At 41.5% G+C, this 26,932-nt stretch overlaps 1 long non-coding RNA gene across 2 annotated transcripts in view, besides 1 other annotated feature; it reads left to right on the top strand.

Moving 5' to 3' along the window:
• The window catches only part of PLS3-AS1 (PLS3 antisense RNA 1), a 44,543-nt gene extending 42,773 nt beyond the window's left edge, over window positions 1-1,770 (top strand). For both annotated transcript variants that reach the window (NR_110384.1, NR_110383.1), the window contains 1 exon segment: window positions 248-1,770. This is a non-coding gene — a long non-coding RNA (PLS3 antisense RNA 1).
• Window positions 11,815-12,350: an enhancer, noted in NCBI's record as "OCT4-NANOG hESC enhancer chrX:114741988-114742523 (GRCh37/hg19 assembly coordinates)". NCBI's record gives its function as "activates a minimal SCP1, AML or CMV promoter by ChIP-STARR-seq in primed H9 embryonic stem cells {active_cell/tissue: H9 hESC(primed)}" and the evidence as "EXISTENCE:reporter gene assay evidence [ECO:0000049][PMID:30033119]".

Below are 26,932 nucleotides of genomic sequence, written 5' to 3'. Positions count from 1 at the left end.
CACGCACACACACATATGTGTGTGTGTGTGCGTGTGTGTGTGTGTGTGTGTGTATATATATATATATATATATATTTGGAGATTAGGTCTCACTCTGTCGCCCAGGCTGCAGTGCAGTGGCACAATCATGACTCATTGCAGCTTCAACTTCCCGGGTTCAGGTGATTTTCCCACCACAGCCTCCGGGGTAGCTGGGATGACAGGCATGCACCACAATGACCGAGTAATTTTTTATATTCTTTTGTAGAGATGGGGTTTCGTCATGTTGCCCAGGCTGATGTAGAACTCCTGGCCTCAAGCAATCCACCTGCTTTGGCCTCCCAAAGTGCTGGGATTACAGACGTGAGCCACCATGCCCTGCTGGTTTAACGTTATATTGAAGTTTCTCCAACTGAAGGGCATGTACTGTTGAGCATGCTCAGAAGCCAAGGTTCAAGCCATTCTTCAACTATAGATGCTTCAACTCATCTCTCTTTCTTCGGAATATTCTCTCCCTTATCAATTTCACCAATTATACCAAGTAACCCCCTGCTTATTCCCCTAGAACAGACAGAGCTGATACTAGTCTGTGCCTTATGTGATTTAGAAAAAGACTCTTGGAATGCAGCCCCAGACCATGATGTACAGAGCATGAGTTGGGTATTGCCCCATTTTATTCTCTAATTCAGGTGCCCTTGTGCAGTGAATAACATGGCAGCTGTGAGACTAGTGATGCTAAACAGGTTTAATTTTTGGTGCAAATTCTAATGAATTAATAATAGCTGTTTTAAAAAAACACACAGTGCTAAGAAAGACTCTGAGGCTGTTTTCAGGCTCAGTAGATAAATTGTACTGTAAGCTGGGATGATTTGCCTTGGTTGGGAGAATGGCACCAGGTGTGACAAGAATTTGCTATCTAAGGACTAGAGGCATCTCACCCGTCCTGAAGAGGTAGGAAGCCTGGGGTAGGCAGATGTTGAGGTAGAATGTGGGCCCAGACAAGTTTTATAATTTATAGAACACAACTTTAAAATGCCCTTGTAATACAAGGCAACAATCCTACTTTTCCAGGTCTCTAACAAAAAGCATCTAGCTGAGCTAGAGTGTTTTCATGAGGCATCTGCTACACAAAACAATGTCTTGCTTAATAAATAACACCCGTTTCTACTTGGTGTCATTTTACTGTTTAATCAAAACTTATTTTCACCACTCTTAACCACAATCTAAAGAAGGATGCTTCAATCTCTTCCTGATTTAGCCTTAAACTTGGTCATGTGTACCATTCGACTAGGATTGCCAGAGTCAGCCACCCTCCCAACAAAGGATGCTCAGTTAAATATTGCACAGAACACACTTATACTAAAAATTGTTTGTTGTTTATCTGAAATTCAAATTTAATGGGGCATAATGTATTTTACTTGGCAATCCTACCTGTGATGGACATATATATTTCCCCCCAGCTTTATTAAGGTATAATTGACAAATAAAAGTGTAAATATTTATGATATAAATGGAAATATAAACAGATGCTCCTCGACTTTTGATGGGGTTACATCCTGATAAACCTGTCATAAGTTAAAAATATTGTGAGTTGAAAATTCATGTAATACACCTAACTTACTGAATATCCTAGCTTGGCCTAGCCAACCTTAAATGTGCCCAGAACACTTACATCAGCATATTTGGGCTGATGTAACACAAACCCTATTTTATCATAAACTGTTTAATATCTCATGTAATTTATTGAATACTGTATTGAAAATGAAAGATAAAATGGTTGTATGGGTACTCAAAGTACAGTTTCTATTGTCTGTGTATCTCTTTTGCACCATCGTACAGTTGAAAAATCCTGTGTCAAACAATCATAAGTCAGGGACCATCTGTATTGTTGAAATAGCATTTCAAGCTGGATTCCTTTTTAGAAAAAAAATGATCTAAAAGGGATATGCCATAAAAATCTACAAATGAAGTGTAAGAGGTGATGTACACATGAGCAATTTCACTATATTCAAGAATACTAAAAATTGGTTGTGATTCCCTTGACGTTTAAGGAAGTGGTTTTGAATTTTAAAATAGCAATGCTTTATGCAGTAATAAATATATACAATTTATTACCACTGGGAAGAGATCCAGCCAGAAAAATTTTGAAAGACACATTTAGAAAGTTTTAGATATATTCATGTACAATCATGCAAATCAAATAAAAATGATATAGCACCTACTGTATTTTAGGCACTCATGATCCAGAGATGAAGACATGGTCCCGCTGCTCAGGGAGTCTACTAGCAACACACATATAATTCAAAATAACAATATAGTCTTGGGAGAAAAATAGAAGTAAATAATAAAGTACAGTCATAGTAGGAAAAAATGCATGGTTGATTATCTCTACTGGGGGAAAACGGGAGCAAGGGAAAACTCTAATAGATCACTCTTGAACTAGAATTTTGTTGTTTCTTTTAATTCGTATGTATGTATGTATGTATGTATGTATGTACAGGGTCTCACTCTGTTGCCTAGGCTGGAGTTCAGTGACACAATCATGGCTCACTGCAGACTCAAACTCCTGGGCTTAAGTGATCCTCCTGCCTCAGCCCCCTAAGTAACTGGGATGACAGGCACCACTATGCCCAGCTAATTTTTTTTATTTTTTTAGTAGATATGGGGGTCTCACTTTGTTGCTCATTCTTGTCAACTCCTGGCTTTAAGTAATCCTCCAACAGGCCAGGCATGGTGGCTCACACCTGTAATCCCAGCACTTTGGGAAGCCTTGGCGGTTGAGTCACCTGAGGTCAGGAGTTCGAGACTAGCCTGGCCACCATGGTGAAATCCGTCTCTACCAAAAATACAAAAATTAGCCGGTGTGGTGGTGCACGCCTGTAATCCCAGCTACTCGGGAGGCTGAGGCTCAAGAATTGCTTGAACCCAGGAGGCAGAGGTTGCAGTGAGCCAAGATTCCATCACTGGACTCCAGCCTGGGTGATAGAGTGAGACTCAGTCTCAAAAAAAAAAAAAAAGTTATTCTCCCACCTAGGCCTCCCAAATTGCTGAGGTTACAAGCATGAGCCACTGTACTGGCCTGTTGTTTCTTTTTAAATCCATTTTATTTGTAGTATAGTTTACAAACAATAAGATTTACCCATTTACCCATTTAAAGTGCAATTTGATGAGTTTTACCTTTTTTAGGGTTATTGAGGTATGATTTGCATAAAGTAAACTTTAGTCTTTTAAAATGTATGGGTCAAAGAATTTTAACGAACTTATTCAGTTGTATAACCATCATCATAATAAAGATACAGAGTATTTCTACTATCAAAAAAATTCCTTCATGCCCTTTTGTGTTAGTTTTCTGTTACTGGAATAATAAGTTACCACAAACTTAGTGGTTGAAAGCAGCACCCATTTTACTGTAGCACACTCCCGTATGTCAGAAGTTAGGACAGTATGGTGGGGCTCTCTGCTAAGGATCTCGCAAAACTGAAATCAAAGTGTTGCATAGGCTGAGTTCCTTTCTGGAGGCTCTGAGTAAAATCTGCTTAGAAGCTCGTTCAGGCTGTTGGCCAGATTCTGTTCCCTGCAGCTCTAGGACTGAGGTCCCCATTTTCTGGACACTTGGCCTTCTCCACCTTCAAGTCAGCAGTGAGTTGAATCCTTCTTGTACTTCAGACCTCTCTGACTTCTGCTTTTAAAAGGTCATGTGATTCCACTGGGCCCACCTGGATAATCCAGGATGATATTGCTATTTTAAGGTCAACTGATTAGTAACTTTAATTACATGTCCAAAGTCTATTTTGCCATGTAACATAATGTATTCATGGGCATAACAACAGTAGTAAAGGTCATAGGGTCAAAAATTCTGCATTTCACACACTTTGTATCAATGCCTCTATTCCAGCCTTTGGTAACATCCGATCTGATTTCTGTCCCTGTAGTTTCGTTTTTTCCGGAATGTCATATAAATAGAATCATATAGTCTTTAGCTTTTTTTTTTTTTTTTTTTTTTTTTGAGATAAGGTCTCACTCTGTCACCCAGGCTGGAGTACAGTGCATGATCATAGCTTGGCTCACCAGTCTCGACCTCCTGGGCTTCGGTGATCCTCCCACCTCTGCCTCCTGAGTAGCTGGAACTATAGGCATGCACCACCACACCCAGCTAATTTTTATATTTTTTGTAGAAACGGGGTTTTGTTATGCTGTCCAGGCTGGCCTTGAGCTCCTGGGCTCAAGCGATGGGCCTACCTCTGCCTCCCAAAGTGCTGGGATTACAGGCGTGAGGCACTGTGCCTGGCCATTATGTAGCTTTTTGAGTGACTTTTTTTTTTTTTTTCACTCAGCCTAAGGCTCTTGAGATCTATGTACAAAGTCACATGGATAAATAGTTCCTTTTTGTCACTAGGTAGTATTTCCTTGTATGAATGTACCACAGTTTCTTCAACCATCCACCTGCTGGTGAGAAGGTCCAGGCACAAATGCAGTCTGAGAATATAAGCAGTAGTCACAAATGCCTGATAAACTGATTTAAGGGGCTAGAGAGAGAACAGAAGCTAGGAAAAACCTCTGAGAGATCTAAAATAACAAGTAGGTTCACACAATTAGGGAATGACATTCTAGGAGATGGTCTCATGTACACCATTTTACTAATGAGAAAAATGAGGTTCCAAGAGCTTAACTAACTGGCCAAAATCACACAGGTGATCAATGTCTGAGGTGGAATGTAAATCTAAGTCCATCTGACAGTAAATATATCAGTGATTCCTATTTTTTTTTTTTTTTTGAGACGGAGTCTTGTTCTGTTGCCCAGGCTGGAGTGCAGGGGCGCCATCTCGGCTCACTGCAAACTCCACCTCCCAGGTTCAAGCGATTCTCCTGCCTCAGCCTCCCAAATAGCTGGGATTACAGGCGCCCACCACCATGCCAGGCTAGTTTTTGTATTTTTTTTTTTTTTTTTTAGTAGAGATGGGGTTTCGCCATTTTGGCCAGGTTGGTCTCAAACTCCTGACCTCAGGTCATCCGCTCGCCTTGGCCTCCCAAAGTGCTGGGATTACAAGTGTGAGCCATCGCGCCCGGCCCTAATTATATTTGATATGATAAAAGCTATGGGTCTTCTCCCCAGAAAAATAAACATGCAAATGCATACCAATCCTAGCTGAAGAATCATTTACATTTACATTTAACCCTAATCATTTACCTTTAACCCTAATCCCCTAGCGCCAAATATAACTATTCCTTGTGATAAAAGCACAGAATATTACCCCAGGTAGAGACAATTGAAGTGGGAAAACCTGGTTTCAAATTTTAACTGTGTCATTTACTGTCTGTATGATGTTGATCTCATTACTTTAACCAATTGAGCACCAGTTTCTTTACCAGCAAAACAAGTATAATAATGGCAGCTTTGCAAGATTGTTGTGAAGCACACAGTGGGTGCTCAGCAAATGCCTGACAAACTGAACTGTCCAGTGAACTTCAATTTCTTGTCCCTTTTCCTGTCTTCTGACCATCCTAGCAAAACAGAGAACCCCATCATGAAATTAAGTCATTTTTACTCTAAAAATCATTCACAACTGTCTGGGCCAATCAGGATGTTTGATAAGGCATAAACACCAAGAAGCCTCCTGGGAAATAAATTGTTTAAACTTAAGAGTGTCGTATAACTTGACTCAAAGGCAGTTGAGCCTGTGTAAGGAGCTTGGCTACATTATTAACCCACCAGAGTGCATGCCACAGGTATCATCTGGCCCAGCCCCCCTTGAATCCAAGCCTGAATCTTACAGCAAAGAATCACTAATAAAACAAGTGAAGATGAAAAGAACTTCATTCTAGCTGGGCGCGATGGCTCACGCCTGTAATCCCAGCACTTTGGGGGGCTGAGGTGAGCTGATCACGAGGTCAGGAGTTGGAGACCAGCCTGGCCAACATGGTGAAACCCCCGTCTCTACTAAAAATACAAAAATTAGCCGGGAGTGGTGGCACGCACCCGTAATCCCAGCTACTTAGGAGGCTGAGGCAGGAGAATGGCTTGAACCTGGGAGGCGGAGGTTGCCGTGAGCGAAGATCACCCCACTGCACTCCAGCCTGGGCAACAGAGCGAGGCTCCGTCTTAAAAAAAAAAAAAAAAAAAAAAAAAAAGAACTTCATTCTAACATTTCAGCAACGTCAGTGCCAACACCTTTGGCAGCACCTTAGGAGATTGATTGTACCACTGCTATTGTCACTGGTGGAGGGTGTCCAGGTTCTTGGGCTCTTGAACAAAGAATTGGACAAAACGCACAAAGCAAGGAAGGAAGGAATCATGGGATTTATTGAAAATGAAAGTACACTCCACAGTGTGGGAGTGGACCCCAGCATAGGGGCTCAAGGGCACTGTTACAGAGTTTTTTTGAGTTTAAATACCCTCTACTTGTTGTACACCCTATGTAAATGAAGAGGATGAAGTAAAGTTATCATTTACTATGGAGAGGACATTTTCTGTCATAGCTGAAGTGTGAATCAACCTTATGTTCCCTGCCTCCAGACCCTGCTTTCCTGCCTCACTATCTCCAGTATTGAAAGATAACACCAACAGAAAACCAAATACCACATGTTCTCACTTATAAGTGGGAGCTAAATGATGAGAACACATGAACACACAGAGGGGAACAACACACGCTGCAGACTTTTGAAGGTTAGAGGGTGAGAGGAGGGAGAGGATCAGGAAAAATAACTAATGGGTACTAGGCTTAATACCTAGGTGATGAAATAATCTGTACAACAAACCCCCATGACACAAGTTTACCTATGTAACAAACCTGCACATGTACCCCTGAACTTAAAAGTTAAAAAGAAAGAAAGAAAAACAGCACCTTCCTTATTGGGCACTGACGACCTATGCGTGGACACTACAGGCCACCAGTTGTACCTCTGGCAGGCACCTGTAGAGGTCTTGGTTTTGATGGCTGTTGACCATGACAATATGCACCCCTAGGGAAGTTCTAGAATAAAAAGAAGAGAAATGGGAGACATGAGTGCCAGACCCCAGAGAACTTGTGAAACACCTTTTTGATTTTCCAGAAGTTTTTTTTTTTTTTTTCTGGGAGAGGGGGAACCTAGGAGATTAGGGGAATGTGTGGGTAGGGAATGGAGAGTGAAACTCCTAGAGAGTGCAAGGGGATGGACCCAGAAAAACACTGACTTGTGATTTTCTCTTTTCTGCAAGGTTAGCATGGTCATGGAATCCCAGGTGTAAGGCAGTGATATTTACTCTCCCTGAAGATCCTGTACTTTGTAGCCCTCTGACATTTGGATGTGGATTTTTCCTTCAGCAGTATCTTTCCTTGCATGGTCTTCCTCCCCGGAGGCTCTTCTTCATGTTTTTTGCTTATGCAAAGGTCCATTTTTTGTCCAATTTTCTTTTAAGTTGTAATGTCTTGGACTTAGGCACAGAGTGGGCTATATTTGGGAAGTCATTCTCAAACTTGCTCAAGTGTCAGAGTACTTGGACATCATGGTGCTCTTTGGGGGACTTTAAGAAATGGTATTTTAAAATTTGATTCAATCACTTAATTATGAGAAGAATGAAATAAGCAGCATCATAGCACCTGTTATGTAGGGGCACTTATGAACCAAGCACTCTGTTAATCGGTTGACATTGGTTACCTTATTCAGCTCTCATGATAACCCTGTGAAATATGTACTATATGGAGATAGAGGCTCGGAGAAATTCAGAAACCCCTAAGGGGGTCACACAACCAGGAAGTAGCAGATACTGTATTTGCTCCCTGGACTTTAAAGTTTAAGATTTTGCTGGGTTTGGTAATCCCAGCTGTAATCCCAGCATTTTGGGGTGCTGAGGCAGGAGGAGCGCTTGAGCTCAGGAGTTTGAGGCTGCAGTGAACTATGATTGATGATTGCATCACTGCACTCAGTCTTGGTGACAAAGCGAGACCCTGGTTTGTTTTTTTTTAAGCTCATGATTTTAACTACTACATCTACTGCTTACCCTTATGAACAATTTTAATAATATAAATAAGACTATATTACAAGTTGGAGTATTAAGTAAAACCTCTAGAATATGAATTTGAGCACACACAAAATAAGCTGATACATGCCTACGTTCAGCTGAGTATTCTATTAATATTTCTTTGCCACCATAACAACACAGACTCTGTGTCCCCTCAGGCTTGTTTACAATAATTAGCTGTACTTCCTTCTCTCCCTGAGGTTCATTAAAAGCATCAGTTGATACCAAATGGTGTACTGTTTGCAAATAGCAGCTAATACAAGCAGGGAAAGAGAATTATTTTCTTAAGGGTGCACTTTTGATTACTTCAAGAAACTGTTCTTTGAAGTGTAAATTTATTTCAATCATTCGTTTTTCATTCCCTTCACAAAACTTAAGATATTCACAGTTTTAAAGAGCAGAGTGTTGGAAATGTTAACTATAAGAATGTCTGAGACTTGTTTTTTTAAAACACTTTCTTGGGCAAAAATGCCAGGAATAATCAAGGAACAAAATATTCCTCATTTTTATCATTTTCTCATCACCGTTCCTCAAAGGATCAAGACTGTCTCCTTTTAGATGTCAGTACTCCTTTTCAGAATTGACCTTTACTCCCCACCATGGAGGATGCATGGACAGCCACACTGTGAAAAATCTCAGGTTCCAAGCCATACCCAGGATAACAAATGATATTGCCTAGATAAGTCCAGAGCCAAGTCTTACAGGGCTATTCACAAGCTGATCTTCTAAGTTTCAACTCCTTCACCCTCAAGCCAGCCAGGACAACAGTTAGGCCCCTGGTAACTATGAAAAAATACTGGGATCCAGGCATAAGCCTAGGATTTCAGATCACTAGTCACAGAAATTGCCCTGGCTACAAGTTGGAGTGCTCTTCTCCAAATCCCCTGAATAAAATTTTAACCTGGGTATTGACCTAGCTCAGTTTCCATGAGCTGCTCTTGAGTCCAGTTTCTCCATCCTACTTTTTCTCCAGTCTGTTCTTGTCACTTTGTTACAGGTTAGGCATGAGTGGGGCAGGAGACAGCTCTCCCTGACCCACTAGAAAGTTCAGGTGATGATTTGGCAATTGTTGCATTGCCTCTCTAAAGGTGATAAATTGGCAGCCGGTGCCAGGGAGAGGCCATTTTCTGATGGTCCACACCTGTCAACATTAAAGTGTTAATTAAAGGCAGGCCCCAGGGAGAAGCAACTTCCTGGGCATGCACATTAAGAAACAAAAATGGCAAAGTACTGTGTCCGGAGTTGGTTCCTTTTGGTGGGTTCTTGGTCTTCCTGACTTCAAGAATGAAGCCACGGACCTTTGTGTTGAGTGTTACAGCTCTTAAAGGTGGTGTGGACCCAAAGAGTGAGCAGCAGCAAGATTTATGGTGAAGAGCGAAAGAACAAAGCTTCCACAGCGTGGAAGGGGACCCAAGTGGATTGCCACTGCTGGCTGGAGTGGCCAGCTTTTATTCCTTTATTTGTCCCCGCCCATGTCCTGCTGATTGGTCCATTTTACAGAGTGCTGATTGGTCCATTTTACAGAGTGCTGATTGGTGTGTTTACAATCCTTGAGCTAGACACAGAGTGCTGATTGGTGTGTTTTTACAGAGTGCTGATTGGTGCATTTACAATCCTTTAGCGAGACACAGAGCGCTGACTGCTGCCTTTTTACAGAGTGCTGATTGGTGCATTTACAATCCTTGAGCTAGACACAGAGTGCTGATTGGTGCATTTTTGCAGTGCTGATTGGTGCATTTACAATCCTTTAGCTAGACACAGAGCACTGATTGGTGTGTTTACAATCCTCTAGCTAGACAGAAAAGTTCTCCAAGTCCCCACCCGACCCAGGAAGTCCAGCTGGCTTCACCTCTCAGTACAATCTTCCAGGTACCTACCACCAGAAAAAGGGAAGAAAGCCTCAGATGGGTATGTGTACAACTTCCTAAACACACTGCACTTGCTCAGTTCCCAAGGGTAAGGAGGGCACTGCACATGTGCAAAGCCCACAATAAGGGAAGAATCATGGAAAACAGGTGAGCCTATAAAGTCCCAGGATCAAGGTTACAGATGCTTTTTTCTCTCTTTGACCTTCAGGTGCCCACTTGGATCTCACCCAAGGGTTCTTTCCTTTCTTTCCTGTTCTAAGTGAGAGGTGAAGCCAGCTGGACTTCCTGGGTCAGGTGGGGACTTGGAGAACTTTTCTATCTAGCTAGAGGATTGTAAACACACCAATCAGTTCTCTGTGTCTAGCTCAAGGATTGTAAATGCACCAATCAGCACTCTGTAAAAATGCACCAATCAGCGCTCTGTGTCTAGCTCAAGGATTGTAAATGCACCAATCAGCACTCTGTAAAAAGGCACCAATCAGGGCTCTGTGTCTAGTTCAAGGACTGTAAATGCACCAATCAGCACTCTGTAAATACACACCAATCAGCGTTCTGTGTCTAGCTAAAGGATTGTAAATGCACCAATCGGCACTCTGTAAAACGGACCAATCAGCACTCTGTAAAATGGACCAATCAGCAGGACATGGGCGGGGACAAATAAAGGAATAAAAGCTGGCCACTCCAGCCAGCAGTGGCAATCCGCTTGGGTCTCCTTCCACACTGTGGAAGCTTTGTTCTTTCGCTCTTCACAATAAATCTTGCTGCTGCTCACTCTTTGGGTCCACATCATCTTTAAGAGCTGTAACACTCACCACGAAGGTCCGTGGCTTCATTCTTGAAGTCAGGAAGACCAAGAACCCACCAAAAGGAACCAACTCCAGACATCTTGGTGACCACGAAGGGACTATCGCCAAGCGGTGAGTCACTTTTGCTTGCTATTCTGTCCTTGCTATTCGGACCCCTTTTGCTTGCTATTCTGTCCTATTTTTCCTTAGAATTCAAGGGCTAAATACCGGGCACCTGTCGGCCAGTTAAAAGTGACTAGCGTGGCTGCTGGACTAAAGACACGGGTGTCAGGCTTTCTGGGAAAGGGCTCTCTAACAACCCCCAACTCTTCAGAGTTAGGAGCATTGGTTTGCCTGGAACCAGCTTCCAGTTTTCCTGTACTTCTGGGCTGAGCCAAGGGTCGACAGAGAGGAAAGCCATTCAGCTCTAGGGTCCCAACAAAAAGTTGGTTGACCCTGTAGTCATGAGCGGAACTCTCAAAGTCATGTTGCCCAAGCGAGACTCACCCATCTATCCTATCTATCCTGACCCTTGCCTCCTGGGTCCTAATGCCTGTCAGACAAACTTCCTCTTGCCTCTCTTCTCCAAGGCTAGTCCCACTTCTAAAAACCACTGCCTGTCTCTGGTGCTTTTCTAGTTTCTCCTATAAGAATGATTTCTAATATAAACTTCAGGACTCTGTTCCCTTTTTTAGGCACTAAAGCTCACTAATCAGAAAGACATAATTTTTGCCCAAGGCCCCATCGGCAGGGGTGGGGGGGACTATGTGGAATTTTAGAATCCCCTCTCAGACTAGCAGGCCTAACAAAAGCTATTCCTGAAGCTAGGATATGGGGAGCCTCAGAAATGATATCCTTCCTATTCATATGATGAGAGGTGAGGACAAAAGGCATCACTTTCCAACCCTGAAGATCCCTTCCCTCCCTCAGGGTGTGGCCCTCCTCTTCAGTTTTGGGGCCTAACATCTTTATAGGACAAGGGCAAAGTCCCAATACTAACAGGAAAAAATGCTTAGGACTCTAACAGGTTTTTGAGAATGCATTGGTAAGGGCCACTAAATCCGATTTTTCTCGGTCCTCTTTGTGGTCTAAGAGGAAAGGCAAGGGTGCAGGTTTTCAAGAATGCATCATTAAGGGCCACTAAATCTGACCTTCCTCGGTTCTGTTTGTGGTCTAAGAGGAAAACTAGGGTTTCTGCTGCTGCATCAGTGAGCGCAACCATTCCAATCAGCAGGGCCCAGGGACGATTGATTGTGGGTTCTTGGGCAAGAGGGGTTTCTGCTGCTGCGTCGGTGAGTGCAACTATTCTGATCAGCAGGGTCCAGGGACCATTGTGGGTTCTTGGGCAGCGGGTGGCAGGGAGGGGGTGGGGAACAAAGAAACCAAAACCATGGGTGGTTTTTTCTTTCAGATGGGAAACACTCAGGTATCAATAGGCTCACCCTTGAAATGCATCCTAAGCCATTGGAACCAATTTGACCCATAAACCATGAAAAAGAAGCAGCTCATTTTTATCTGCACTATGGCCTGGCCCCAATATTCTCTCTCTGATGGGGAAACATGGCCACCTGAGGGAAGTATAAATTACAATACTATCCTGCAGCTTGACCTTTTCTGTAAGAGGGAAGGCAAATGGAGTGAAATACCTTATGTCCAAGCTTTCTTTTCATTGAAGGAGAATCCACAACTATGCAAAGCTTGTAATTTACATCCCACAAGAGGACCTCTCTGCTTACCCCCATATCTTAGCCTCCCTATAGCTCCCCTTCCTATTAATGATAAGTCTCCTCTAATCTCCCCTGCCCAGAGGGAAACAAGCAAAAAAAATCTCCAAGGGACCACAAAAACCCCAGGGCTATTGGCTAAGTCCCCTTCAAGCTGTAGGGGGAGGGGAATTTGGCCCAACCCACGTACATGAACCCTTCTCCCTCTCTGATTTAAAGCAGATAAAGGTAGACCTGGGGAAGTTTTCAGATGATCCTGATAGGTATATAGATGTCCTACAGGGTGTAGGGCAAACCTTCAATCTCTCTTGGAGAGATGTCATGCTATTGTTAGATCAAACCCTGGCTTTTAATGAAAAGAATGCGGCTTTAGCTGCAGCCCAAGAGTTTGGAGATACCTGGCATCTTAGTCAAGTAAATGATAGAATGACAGCTGAAGAAAGGGACAAATTCCCTACCAGTCAGCAAGCCATCCCCAGTATGGAGCCCCACTGGGACCTCGACTCAGATCATGGGGACTGGAGTCACAAACATCTGTTGACCTGTGTTCTACAAGGACTAAGGAGAACTGGGAAAAAGCCCATGAATTATTCAGTGATGCCCACCATAACTCAGGGAAAGGAAGAAAATCCTTCCACCTTCCTCGAGCGGCCATGGGAGGCCTTAAGAAAATATACTCCCCAAATCACTTGAGGGTCAATTGATCCTAAAGATAAGTTTATTACCCAATCAGCCACAGATATCAGGAGAAAGCTCCAAAAGCAAACCCTGGGCTCTGAACAAAATCTGGAGGCATTATTAAACCTGGCAACCTCAGTGTTCTATAATAGGGACCAAGAGGAACAGGCCCAAAAGGAAAAGCAAGATCAGAGAAAGGCTGCAGCCTTAGTCATGGCCCTCGGACAAACAAACCTTGGTGGTTCAGAGAGGACAGAAAATGGAGCAGGCCAATCACCCGGTAGGGCTTGTTATCAGTGTGGTTTGCAAGGACACTTTAAAAAAAGACTGTCCAATGAGAAACAAGCTGCCCCCTCGCCCATGTCCACTATGCCAAGGCAATCACTGGAAGGCACACTGCCCCAGAGAACAAAGGTTCTCTGGGCCAGGAGCCCCCAACCAGATGATCCAACAACAGGACTGAGGGTTCCCGGGGCAAGTGCCAGCTCATGTCATCACCCTTACTGAGCCCCAGGTACATTTAACCATTGAGGGCCAGGAAATTGACTTCCTCCTGGACACTGGCATGGCCTTCTCAGTGTGAATCTCCTGCCCCAGACAGCTGTCCTCAAGGTCCATTACCATCCGAGGAGTCCTGGGACAGCCTGTAACCAGGTATTTCTCCCACCTCCTTAGTTGTAATTGGGAGACTTTTGGGAGACTTTGCTCTTTTCACATGCCTTTCTTGTTATGCCTGAAAGTCCCACACCCTTATTAGGGAGGCACATATTAGCCAAAGCTGGAACCATTATCTACATGAGTATGGGGAACAAGTTACCCATTTGTTGTCCCCTGCTTGAGGAGGGAATCAACCCTGAAGTCTAGGCACTGGAAAGACAATTCAGACGGGCAAAAAATGCCTGCTCAGTCCAAATCAGGCTAAAAGACCCCACCACTTTTCCTTATCAAAGGCAATATCCCTTAAGGCCTGAAGCTCATAAAGGATTACAGGATATTGTTAGACATTTAAAATCTCAAGGCTTAGTAAGGAAATGCAGCAGTCCTTCCAACACCCCAATTCTAGGAGTCTCCCTAAGTCCCAACATTAACATTGCCCCAGGAAATCAGACCCTATCAGTTGTCCTCAAAGCTCAAGTCCGTAAGCACAGAGCCATACAGCTAATACCCCTACTTGTAGGGTTAGGAATGGCTACAGCTACAGGAACCGGAATAGACAGTTTATCTACTTCATTATCTTATTACTACACACTCTCAAAGGATTTCTCAGACAGTTTGCAAGAAATAACGAAATCTATCCTTACTCTACAATCCCAAACAGATTTTCTTTTCCAGAAATTTCCTTTAAATAAAAATTACAAAAAGATCATTCAGAAGAAAGAGCAGCTAGACATTTTTGTTTAGTAATTTTCTTTTTTTAAAAAACAAGTTTTTGTTAAAAAAAAAAATAGAAACAAAGTCTTCCTGTGCTGCCCAGGCTGGTCTCAAACTCCTGGACTCAAGTGATCCTTTAGTGTTGGCCTCCCAAAGTGCTAGGATTATAGGCATGAGCCACCACACCCAGCCCTACTTTTATTTTTTTTAGGTTTTTAACACTGTAATCAGATGCCCAGACTTCGTGCCAAATATAAAGACTGAGCTTATATGAATGGCATCGTAATAAGAGAAAACCACTCTTCAATATACATTTTTGGCCCTGACCTTTCACCTCTTTTGGAACACCTATGTTTTTAACTATCTATAGACATCTTCATTTGAGTTTCTGAAATATTAGTTACCTCAAACCCTTTAAAAATAAACTCAGCCAGGCCTGGTGGCTCAAGTCTGTAAACTCAGCACTTTGAGAGGCTGAGGCAGGAGGATAGTTTGAGGCCAGGAGTTCGAGATCAGTCTAGGCAACATAGGGAAATCCTGTCTCTACAAAACATGCAAAAATTAGCCGGGCATGATGGCATGCACCTGTAGTCCCACTATTCGGGAGGCAAAAGTGGGAGGATCCTTTGAGCCCAGGAGTTTGAGGTTGCAGTGGGCTATCATCACACCACTGTACTCCAGCCTGGGCAACAGAGTGAGATCCTGTATCAAAAAAAGAATAATAAAGAGAATTAAAACATTGAAATTGGTGAGAAATAATCAGTATTTTATAGAATGTTGACTCCTATGGTAGAAACAATGGTGAATAATAAAGAGCAAATTATGGCAGAGGTAAAAAGTTGTGTGTATTTACAATCCTCAATAATCACGGAAAGGAGATGCAAATCTGTTGAGGAAATGGAAAACTTTCCATTGTGGGACTGGGGGCTCAGCATCAGTGTTATATGCCTATTAGTGTAATATTAATTTAGGAAGCTAGTTTAGAAGTTTGCAAAAAAACTAAAAAACTAAGCCTGATGAAAATGCTTTGAATGAGACTTCTGGTTTCCAGTTCAGCATGTAAGAAGCATGGAAGTTGCCATTCCATTCTAGTAACAAGCAAAAATCAGAAAAAACTGAAACTGAAAAACCAACAACTATTCTTTGATACAAAAGAGAAGTGAGGTCACAGGGGAAACCACTGCCCCTGAACTTGGAGAGACAGGCAAATACAGAGAATCACAATTTATCAGAACAAAAACCTCTGTAGGAACCAGTGCAGTGGTAGGAAAACCTGAACTATAGTTGAGGAACTGCTGAAAGCTCAGTGGGTACACCTCCGAGAGTTACAAACTCCAGGGCGCCCCGGTCATGGGGATAGGAGCTTGATCTGTTTTTCACAGTGAATATCAGAGAGAAATCTTGAAATTCCAGCAAGGGGAGGGGAAAGGAAATCATTTTGAAATAAGCCAGAGCATCCTGTTCTTTCTTTCTTTCTCATTTTTTTTGAGACAAGGTCTCACTCTGTTGCCCAAGCTGAGGTGCTGTGTCACTATCCTGGCTCACCGCAACCTGCACCTCCTGGGTTCAAGCGATTCTCATGCCTCAGCCTCCAGAGTAGCTGGGATTACATGAATGTGCCACCATACCTGGCTAACTTTTGTATTTTTAGTAGAGATGAGGTTTCACCATGTTGGCCAGGCTGGTCTCAAATTCCTGGACTCCAGTGATCCTCCCACTTTGGTCTCCCAAAGTACTGGAGTTACAGGCACGAGCCACCACACCCGGCCATGTTCTTTATTTTTATTTAAAAAATTTTTGTTACAATTTTTTTTTTTTTTGAGAGGGGGCCTTGCTCTGTCACCTAGGCTGGAGTACACTGGCATGATCATGGCTCACTGCAGCCTCCACCTCCCGGGCTCAAGCAATCCTCCCACCTCATCCTCTTAAGCAGCTGGGATTACAGACAAACACCACCATGCCCAGCTAATTTATTTTATTTTATTTTTTGTAAATAAAGGGTCTCACTATGTGGCTTAGGCTGGTTTCAAACTCCTGAGCTCAAGCAATCCTCCTGTGTTAGCCCCCCAAAGTGCTGGGATTATAGGTCTGAAAAAGTCTGCCCCCAGGAGAAACTATTTAACCAGAGCCTAACCTACTGGAGTTTCATGAGAGCTTAAGTGACCTGGGAGAAGGGAAATACCCAATGCCAGCCCACTGTAGCCATCGTGTTTTACCATATTTGGAGGCACGGAGGACTGAGAAGCATTTGTAAAGTACACAGTGCAGGGACACAGGCTCACTAAAAGGCTGAGATATGACTATAGGGCTATAGAATGCTTGCCCTGCCTCACACCTTACCACTACATTACTAGAGGTCTATTTACAGCAGTTCCTTTCTCTCACCTCATCATGTCCACGACCAAGAAAGAATTACAAGGCATATGAAAAACCAAAAAATACAATTTGAAAAGACAGGGCAAGCACTAGAACCAGATTCAGATATGGCAAGAATGTTGGAATTATCAGACCGAGAATTTAAAAAAAACTATGATTAATGTGCTAAAGCCTTTAATGAAAAAAGTAGACAACATCAAAGAACAGATAGATAATGTAAGTAGAGAGATGGAAATTCTAAGAAAGAATCAAAAGAAATGCAGAGAGATGGAAATTCTAAGAAAGAATAAAAAGAAATGCTAGGAGTTAAAAACATTGGAATCGAAATGAAGAATGCCTTTCATGGGCTTATTAGTAGACTGGATGTGGCTGAGGAAAGGATCTCTGAGCTTGAGGATATGACAACAAAAACTTTTCAAACTGAAAATCAAAGGCAAAAAAAGACTCAAAGTAGTGGAACAGAATATCCACGAACTGTGAGACAAATACAAAAGATGTAATCATGGGAATACTAGAAGGAGAAGAAAGAAATGAACAGAAGAAATATTAGAAGCAATGATGACTGAAAATTTCCCCAAATTAATGTCAGACATCAGACTGTAGATCCAAGAAATTCAGAGAACAGCAAGCATAGTAAATACCAAAAAAAGACACCTGGGCATATCATAGTTCAAACTTCAAAGAATCAAAGATAAAGAAAAAATCTTGAATGAAGCCAGAGGGGAAAAAACTACATTACCTATAGAAAAGCAAAAATAAGAATTACATCCAGCTTCCCCTCAGAAACCATGCAAGCAAGAAGAGAGTGGAGTGGAGTGAATTGTTTAAAGTGTTAAGAGAAAAACTCGCCAACCTAGAATTCAGTACACTGCAAAATTATCCTTCAATAACTTTCTAACAGAAGGAAAAAAAATATCCTCCAAAAGTGAAGGATAACTAAAGACATTCTTCAGACAAAATGTGAGGGTCATTGTTGCCAATAGACCTGTCATGCAAGAAATATTAAAAGAAGTGTCTCAGAAAGAAGGAAAGTGTTATAGGTTAGCAACTCAGATCTACAGAAAAAAGGAAGAGCACTGGAGAATGAATAAGTGAAGGTAATACAAATACTTTTATTTTTCTTATTCCTAGTTGGTCTAATAGTTCAAAATAATAATAGCAACAATATATTTGATTATGTGTGCTTATGTGTGTGTGTATATATATATGCTTACATATTCTTATATATAAGTGAAATGAATGACAGCAAAGACACAAGAGACAAGATGAAATAATTAAAATTGTTTGTTATTATAAGGCATTTGCACTACCTGTGAAGTGGTATAGTGATATTTGAAAATGGAATTAGATTAGTTGTAAATGTATATTGCAAACTCTAAGGCAACCAATACAAAAAGTTAAAAAAATAAAGAATTATGACCGACATGCTAAAAGGAAGAGAAAAATGGAATCACATAAAATATCAATTAAAACCACAAAAGAGAAAAAGAATGAAAAGCCAAAAACAGGAACAAATAACAAGAGCAACAAATAGAGAACAGTAATGAATATGTTAGATTTTTTTTCTCGTTGTTTTGTTTTGTTTTGTTCTGTTTTGTTTGTTTTGAGACAGAGTCTTACTTCATCACTCAGGTTGGAGAGCAGTGGAGTGATCTCGGCTCACTGCAACCTCCATCTCCCGGGTTTAAGCGATTCTCCTGCCTCAGTCTCCCAAGTAGCTATGATTACAGGCATGCACCACCATGCCTGGCTAATTTTTGTAATTTTATTAAAGATGGGGTTTCACCATGTTGACCAGGCTGATCTCAAACTCCTGACTTCAAGTGATCCACCCGCCTTGGCCTCCTAAAATGTTGGGACTGTAGGCGTGAGCCACTGCATCCCACCGAATATGGTAGATATTAACCCAATTATATCAATAATCACTTTGAATGTCAGTGGTCTAAATGTGCCAATTAAAAGACAGATTTTCAGAGTGGATCAAAAAAACAAAAGCTGGCTGGGCACGGTGGCTCATGCCTGTAATCCCAGCACTTTAGGAGGCCGAGGTGGGTGGACCACCTGAGGTCAGGAGTTTGATATAAGTGGCCAACATGATGAAAACCCATCTCTACTAAAAATATAAAAATTAATTGGGCATGGTGGTGGGCACCTGTAATCCCAGCTACTCAGGAGGCTGAGGCAGGAGAATCTCTTGAACCCGGGAGGCAGAGGTTGCAGTGAGCTGAGGTCATGCCATTGCACCCCAGCCTGGGAGACAAGAGCAAAACTCTGTCAAAAAAAAAAAAAGCCCCCCCATAAAACCAAGACCCAGTAGCATGTTGTCTACAAGAAGCCCACTTTAAATATAAACACATAAGATTAAAAGTAAATGGATGGAGAAAGATATAATGTGCTAACACTAATAAAAAGAAAGTGGCAGTAGTTACATTAATTTCAGACGAAGCTATTTTGGAGCAGGGAAAGTTATCAGGGATAAAGAGGGGCATTACATAATGATGAAGGGGTTAGTTCTTCCTGAATACATAATAATTCTTGACGTGTATGCTCCTGACAACAGAGCAAAACCCAATAGAACTGAAAAGAGAGATAGATGAATCCACTATTATAGTTGGAGTCTTCAACACTCCCCTATCAGAAATGGACAGGTGCAGCAGGCAGAAGATCAGTAAGGACATAGTTGAACTCAACAGCACCATCATTAAACTGGATATAATTGAAATTTCCAGATAACTTCATCCAATTGCAGAACACACATTCTTCTCAACCTCACATGCAACACTCACCAAGATAGACTGTATTCTGGACCCTAAAACACACCTTAACAAATACCAAAGAATAGAACTCATACAATGCCCGCTCCCAGACCACAATGGAATATGCTTGAAAGCAATAACCGGAAAATCCCCAAATACTTGGAGATTAAAAATATACTTCTAAATAACACATGGGTCAAAGAAAAAAATCTCAGCCAGGCGTCGTGGCACACCTCTGTAATCCCAGCACTTTGGGAGGCCAAGGGGGACAGATCACGTGAGGCCGGAGTTCGAGACCAGCCTAGCCAACATGGTGAAGCAACATCTCTACAAAACATAAGAACTCTGTTAGCTCTTCACAACCTGATCACAGCCTTGAAGCCACGGAACATAGAGAACAAGCCATTGCTGGTGATGCATTCATTCATCTATTCATTTATTCAAACACATGGAGCAAAAGCAGCGGGAAGTTCGTACTGGGCAGAAGGCAACAGAGTTGCTAGAGTTCTCTAAGACAGCAGGTACTATCAGATATCATAGGGACTGGCATTGGGAGGACGTATCTATGTCTACAGATTTTCAATGTATCCAGAACTGGTCTGTTTGGGGGAAAGATGTCTGATAGAACATATCAACAAGGAGGAGAAGGGTGTGCTTGATTTTAGAACTGGGAAGGACAGGCTCACACTGACTTGATCCATGGCAGATGGTTCTTGAGCATAAACCGCACAGCAATGTTGTTCCCTCTGGTGTCAAGAGACCAGCCTTTTAAAGCTCTTATCAGGTTTCTGGCTAGGGAGTGCTTCCAGACCGGGGTGTATCCTCCTTGATGGGCAGCTCCTATTAGACCAGGGCAATTCTCTGGGGAAGAGGGGCAGCTGTGAGCCCTTAGCTGTAAATGTTTCCAGAGACTGTAACTTGAAGCCTCCCTCTTTTGGCTTCTGAAAATTTCAATTTATAGCTGTTGTGAATTCATCATATTCAATTAAAGGCATATTTGTACTCAGGCAAAGGAAGAAGAGAAGCCCTGTTGAAAGTTTGAGTTAGGAAAGGGGAAGCAGGGAGAGCTAAAGGAAAGTGAAAGCACAAGTGGCCACAGAGGTTAAAAGTAGAGACACAAAAAGTTAGTGGGAAGAAAGGTCTTGTGTCTGGCATAGGAAGAGGTCCTGTTTCTGGCCTGAAAAGGGAACAAATTAGTGACACAATAGCTACAGTTTGCTTCACCCTTGGCACTTCTTGGGAACAGGAACCCCTGAAGATGGAGGTAGGTTAAAACAGCCCTTAGTGAATTCTCTATCCTAAACCGTGGTCTTCACATATTTTTACTTGCATAACCTCTAAAGGAATTTTGGAAAAACTCTATGCTCCATAGATATCTTTTTTCTTCTTTTTAAAAAATAGAGATGGGGTCTTGCTATGTTGCCCAGGCTGGTCTGGAACTCTTGGCCTCAAGCAATCCTCCCACCTTGACCCCCCAAAATTCTGGAATTACAGGAATAAGCTACCATACCATACCTGGACTCTATAACATATCTTAAAGTTGACATCTAACAACTATGGAGGGATTTATGAAAGCTTAAATATTTCAAGTGATGTAATTTCTGGCATATTGCAAATATTGATGTTTGAGAATAAAACTGTTGCATCATTTTAAAAAATATAAGTGGGACCAATTACCATAGCACCATAGCAGTTTGATATCCACCATTATCCATGTAAAAGATACATGAAGATACTCCTTTTCTTTTCTTTTTCTTTTTCTTTTCTTTTTTTTTTTTTTTTTTTTTTGAGACAGAGTCTCACTCTGTCATCCAGGCTGGAGTGCAGTGGTGCCATCACGGCTTATGGCAGCGTCAACCTCCCAGGCTCAAGTGATCCTCTCACCTCAGTCTCCTGAGTAGCTGGGACCATAGGCACACACCACTGTGCCTGGCTAAATTTTATTTTTATTTTTTGTAGAGATGGGATCTCACTATATTGCCCAACCTGGTCTCAAACTCCTGTACTCAAACAATCCTCCTTCCTTGGCTTCCCAAAGTGGTTGAGATTATAGGCATGAGCCACTGCACCTGAGAAAGATACTCCTTTTGCACAGCCAGATTTTTTTTTTTTTTTTTTTTGAGACAGAGTTTCACTCTGTCACCCAGGCTGGAGTGCAGTGGCATGATCTCGGCTCACTGCAACCGCCGCTTTCCAGGTTCAAGCAATTCTCCTGCCTCAGCCTCCTGAGTAGCTGGGATTACAGGTGTGTACCACCCCACCCAGCTAATTTTTGCATTTTTAGTAGAGACGGGGTTTTCCATGTTGGCCAGGTTGGTTTTGAACTCCTGACCTCAGATGATCTGCCCGCCTTGGCCTCCCAAAGTGCTGGGATTACAGGCGTGAGCCACTGCGCCCAGCACAGCCAGAAATTTTATATCATACTTTTATCTCTTGAACTTATATTTTGATTCTATTCACACCACAGAATTGTATCCTAATGTAATATATTTTTGTTTAGAATATCTTTTGTTATCACATCCCAATTCCTACCATAAAACATGTAAATTTACATTGTAAAAAAATTTTATTCCTGTGACTGTAAGGCTTAGAGTCTTTGGGACTTTTTTGTTTTTTATAATCATTAGCACATGACTGGTTAGAGTAACATAAATATATTATAAAACCTTATAGTTAATAAACATAAAATAGAATATTATTGGGAATGTATCTCTTAATGTGATGGAAGGGGATTTTTTAAAGTAGTTCATATATCTGTGGATCAATGTTACTTATTGTTAGAATGAGAACAAGTTCAATATTTTTAGTATACTTAAGATGTTGAGAAATCTTGTTCATGTAAATGAGATAAGAATGAAAGTTTAGTTAAAATAATATCATTCAATTAAGCACTTTCCTAAATATATGCCAAAGATTACATTATATCTATCATAATTTTTATGATAGATCATAATATAATCTATCTGTGTAATGATCTAGCAAATGACAACTTGGTTAGATTCTCCTCTGATTTTGTTGAAAGCAAGGCATTGGAAACGACTTGCCTTTATAAAAGTATTTGTTATCCCATCATTAAAGTGATGCACTCAGTACTTGTGCTCACACATTTCTCAATATCAGCATCAATATTTCCAATGATCCCTTTCGGTGCTCAAGAAGTTTTCGTTTTGGGGCCAGGCACCAAGGTAAGCCTTGAGATGAGTTAGAGATGTGCCTTTATTTTGTAAAGTGGGAGAAAGGAAGTGGGAAAGTAGAACCATCAGGTATGTTCTCACACAAAGCAAATTTAGGAAAGAGTACACATGGAAGTTAAAAATCTGGAAAATTGTTAAAAACAAAAAGACACTCAAACAATACCTACCTATGTATCTCTTTAAGTCTGAGGGTGCCTTGGGAGTATGTGCACCCAGGTTGAAGAACATGAACCCAAAGAACAGAATAATGTAAAAAGCAGGAAACTGGAGTATGGAGGAAGGCATTATCCCTCCTGACCCCCACCAAGATACATTAACGTGGTTTTGAGAGTCATTGTTGAGACAGCGTGAGATGGGGACCTCGGAACTCATGTATTAAACCTAGAACTCAATATGCATACATTGCATATGTCCTTGGGATAAGATACTCATTTACTTATGTTAATACTAAAGTGTAAAAGACTGATGAAGGGGTATGGGGGATTGCTAAAATGCAACTGGCCCTATGGACAAAGGAATTGGTTTCTCAGTTTCCCCTTAATTGCAGAGGTTGAATAAAGCTCTTTGCAGTGCTTTAGCTAGTACATGGCACACAGCTTAGATTGAGGGAGCAATGGATCAAGAAAACTTGTAAGAGGCAGCTAATTTAATTTCTCCTTAAGTAGTCTAATAATCCACTTTTAGCCTAGCTTAGTGATTTGGGCTTAAGCAAATAAGGTTCTACCCCAGCAGGTTATCAACTAAGCTCCACAGAAACTCACAGGGCAGGATGCTCCAGAGTTCTGCCAGTGAAACATTTTGCCAAAAGTGGTCCACCACTTCTGTCTATTTTAAATATCGAGGTTTGGAGAAAGATTTAGTTGGGAAAAGTGCTCTGTTGCTAAACATACACACACATACATACACTCACAACACACACCACTCGTGCCATTCACTGGACACACAATTACTTTCACTCACCTGTGCTCTCACATATGTTGTTTCTTCTGCCTAGGATAACCAAAACTCATCTCCCCAACTCTTTCAGACAAAAAAAAAGTTTGCTTTCTCTTCTAGACAGTATTTTGTATTTACCATTATTATAGCACTTCCCACATTGTATCATAACTGTATTATTACATGTACTGGCAATTCAACCTTCTAATTGTCTCTAATATGCCAGCCCCTCTCCAGTCCCTCTACCAATGCCTTAGTTTACCCTTATCTTGCATCTGGATCATTTTGACGGAAGTCTTGACCCTTTCCTATCTATTTTCCATACTGCCACCAAGGTGAGCCATCTAAGGCTGTATTCTGATTGTATCATGCCCCTACTTAAAACTTTTTTGTGGATCCCCATTGCCCTAAATGATAAAGTGCGTGCTTCTTAGCCTAGTTGACTTGCCCCTGCACTCCTCCACAGGCTTCTTTTACTGTGCCCCTCACTCTATCCTTGAATCATACATTCTAGCCATGAGGGAGTACTGATCGTTTACTCAGTAAGCCATGTTACTTCAAGGTTTTGTGCCTTTGTAAACACTGCACTTCTTAATTGAGATATCTATTTTCTAGTGTTCAGTGAAGTTAATTCCTGCATATCTTTTAGATTTCCACTTAGATATCTCTTCCTCTGGGAAGGTTTCTGACCCTAAAGTGCCTTATTTTGATCCACAGTTCTCTTTCATGCTTTTTTTTTTTTTTTTGAGAGATGTAGTCTTGCTCTGTCACCCAGGCTGGGGTACAGTGGCACGATCTCGGCTCACTGCAATCCCTGCCTCCCAGGTTCAAGCAATTTTTACGCCTCAGCCTCTGGAGTAGAAGGGACTACAGGCGTGCGCAACCATACCGGGCTAATTTTTGTATTTTTAGCGGAGACAGGTTTTCGCCATGTTTGCCAGGCTGGTCTCAAATTCCTGGCCTCAAGTGATCTGCCAGCCTCGGCTTCCCAAAGTGCTGGGATGAAAGGCCTGAGCCACTGTGGCTGGCCTCTGTCAGCCTTATTTACCATATTTTATGGTAATTGTTTTTGAGTCTGTCTCTATTTTAAGACTCTTAAGTCTTTTTTTTTTTTTTTTTTTTTTCTGAGACAGGGTCTCACTCTGTCACCCAGCTGGAGTGCCGTGGCATGATCATGGCTCTCACTGCAACCTCCACCTCCCAGGCTCAAGTGATCCTCACACCTCAACCTCCCAAGTAGCTGGGACCACAGGTATGTGCCACCATGCCAGGCTAATTTTTTAACTTTTTGTAGAGATGGAATCCCAGTATATTGCTCATGCTGGTCTTGAACTCCTGGGCTCAAGCAATCCTCCTGCCTTGGCCTCCCAAAGTGCTAGCATCACAGGCATGAGCCACTGTGCTCAGCAGATTTCTAAGTCTTAAGGACAAGGACTGTATCTTAATAATCTTGGTATCTCTATTTCCATGTATAAAGCCTTGCACGAAGTAATTGTTCAATAAATAGTTTTTTTTTAAATAGCGAGGGATGAATGTTTGGGTGGAGAATGTATGTTTGGCCTAGGGTAGGCTTAAGACATCTGCTTTACTTTGGTGTCCTGGTTCATTCCCAACTAAAGCTTCAGAGTTTTACAGAATGACATGGAGAGCCAGGTTGTTTTGGCCATGCCCAGAAAGTGTTGGCTTCAGTATAATCTACCAAATTTAGGAGTTATTTGTAACAAAACTAGATTAAATAGAATTTCAGAGTCTAACAGCTACTGCAACATATACTGTAGCACAGTCAATAGCAGTAACACGAATATATTAGGAAAATGAGATTGCTGAAAGACTAAAGGAAAAAGGAATCTGAGTGCTATAGAGACCAAACAGTAGTCACAGCTGTTGACTCTAGGGGACAACAGAACAAGAGGAGGATAAGAAGAGCAATAAAGGGCCATTGAAAGCACATCTGTTATAGTAGGAGACAGGCCTTGGACAGTATCCGGTTACATGCCTAGGACAATTTGCCTCTTATTTATTTTAAACTCTGAGTAATCTAGGGATAAAATCGGTCTGAGATGGGGCATTGTTTTAACATTTCCCATTGGCAATATCCTTTTTGTGTTACTGGGAAAAGACATATAGTCAAACATAAAGCAAAGGCAATTTATCTTTTTAAATACATGTATAAAATGTAAATAATATAGGAAAAAGAAAATTACTGAGCAACAACCATCCAATTCAAATGTAATCTTACTGTTAACCTTTTCTGATGCCCTGTCTTGCCAATAAATATAATTTTGTTTGAGAAATCTTATCATCCAGATGTTATTATTAAAATAATTATTTCATCTTTAACCTCAACAGATGGCTTAGATACACAGGAATCTAGTTCTACTTATAAGTATCATATTTTAACGATTCCTGAAACTAAGTGAGCAGCTTAATAAAACAGATAATGTGTGCAGATAGCTAAAAATATTTGGATAAAAATGGAAACATAAAGTCAAAAATCTGGATTTACGTCTACATGATGACAGAATAAAATTTTCATTTTTAGCATAATATGCAGACACTGCAAAACATCTCTTTTAAGTTATGCATTTCCCCATATAGAAGAGAGTACTGCTGCATGAACAAGAACAACAGACAAACTTTGATTATATTAATTGATTCTAAGGTAGGCATGCCGAACAGGAAGAAGAACCTTCTATAGGACATGTATGTGTTTTCTGTTTGATGTGTTTCCTGTTTGATGAACCAAAGAATTTCCTAAATGCTACCATCCATAGTTCATGTAGTATCAGTTCTAGAGATATTTATTTATTTATTTGAATATTAAGCCTTTGGTGGGGGAACAGGGTCTTGAAGGCTATTCCAAGTAGAGCAGCATGTGCAGAGGAACCAAGATGGTAAGGAACTGGGCATGTTGGAGGATGTAAAGGAAGGCCAGAGTAGTACAAGAAGAGTGAGTAAGGGCAGGAGTTTGGGCTTTACACTAGGAGCAACAGGAAATCACTGAATGGTTTTCATGTTCAGGAGTGACACAATCTGGTTTACGTGGCTAAATGGTCCTGATGTTTACAGTGTGCAAATTGGAATGGAAGGCTGGGCAAGGTGCAAGCTAGAGGCAGAGGTGATATCTGTTGGCTTGCCCTAGAATCCTGGCAACAGAGAAGGAGAGATGTGGACAGATATGTCAGTGGTAGAATCAATAGGGCTTAGTGAGTAATTAATCAGAAGAGAGAGTGTAATGTTGGAGATGACTCTTGATTTTCTGACTT

Source organism: Homo sapiens, chromosome X (genome assembly GCF_000001405.40).
Source record: "Homo sapiens chromosome X, GRCh38.p14 Primary Assembly".
Taxonomy (NCBI): domain Eukaryota; kingdom Metazoa; phylum Chordata; class Mammalia; order Primates; family Hominidae; genus Homo; species Homo sapiens.
This window is presented reverse-complemented; position numbering and strand designations above follow the sequence as displayed.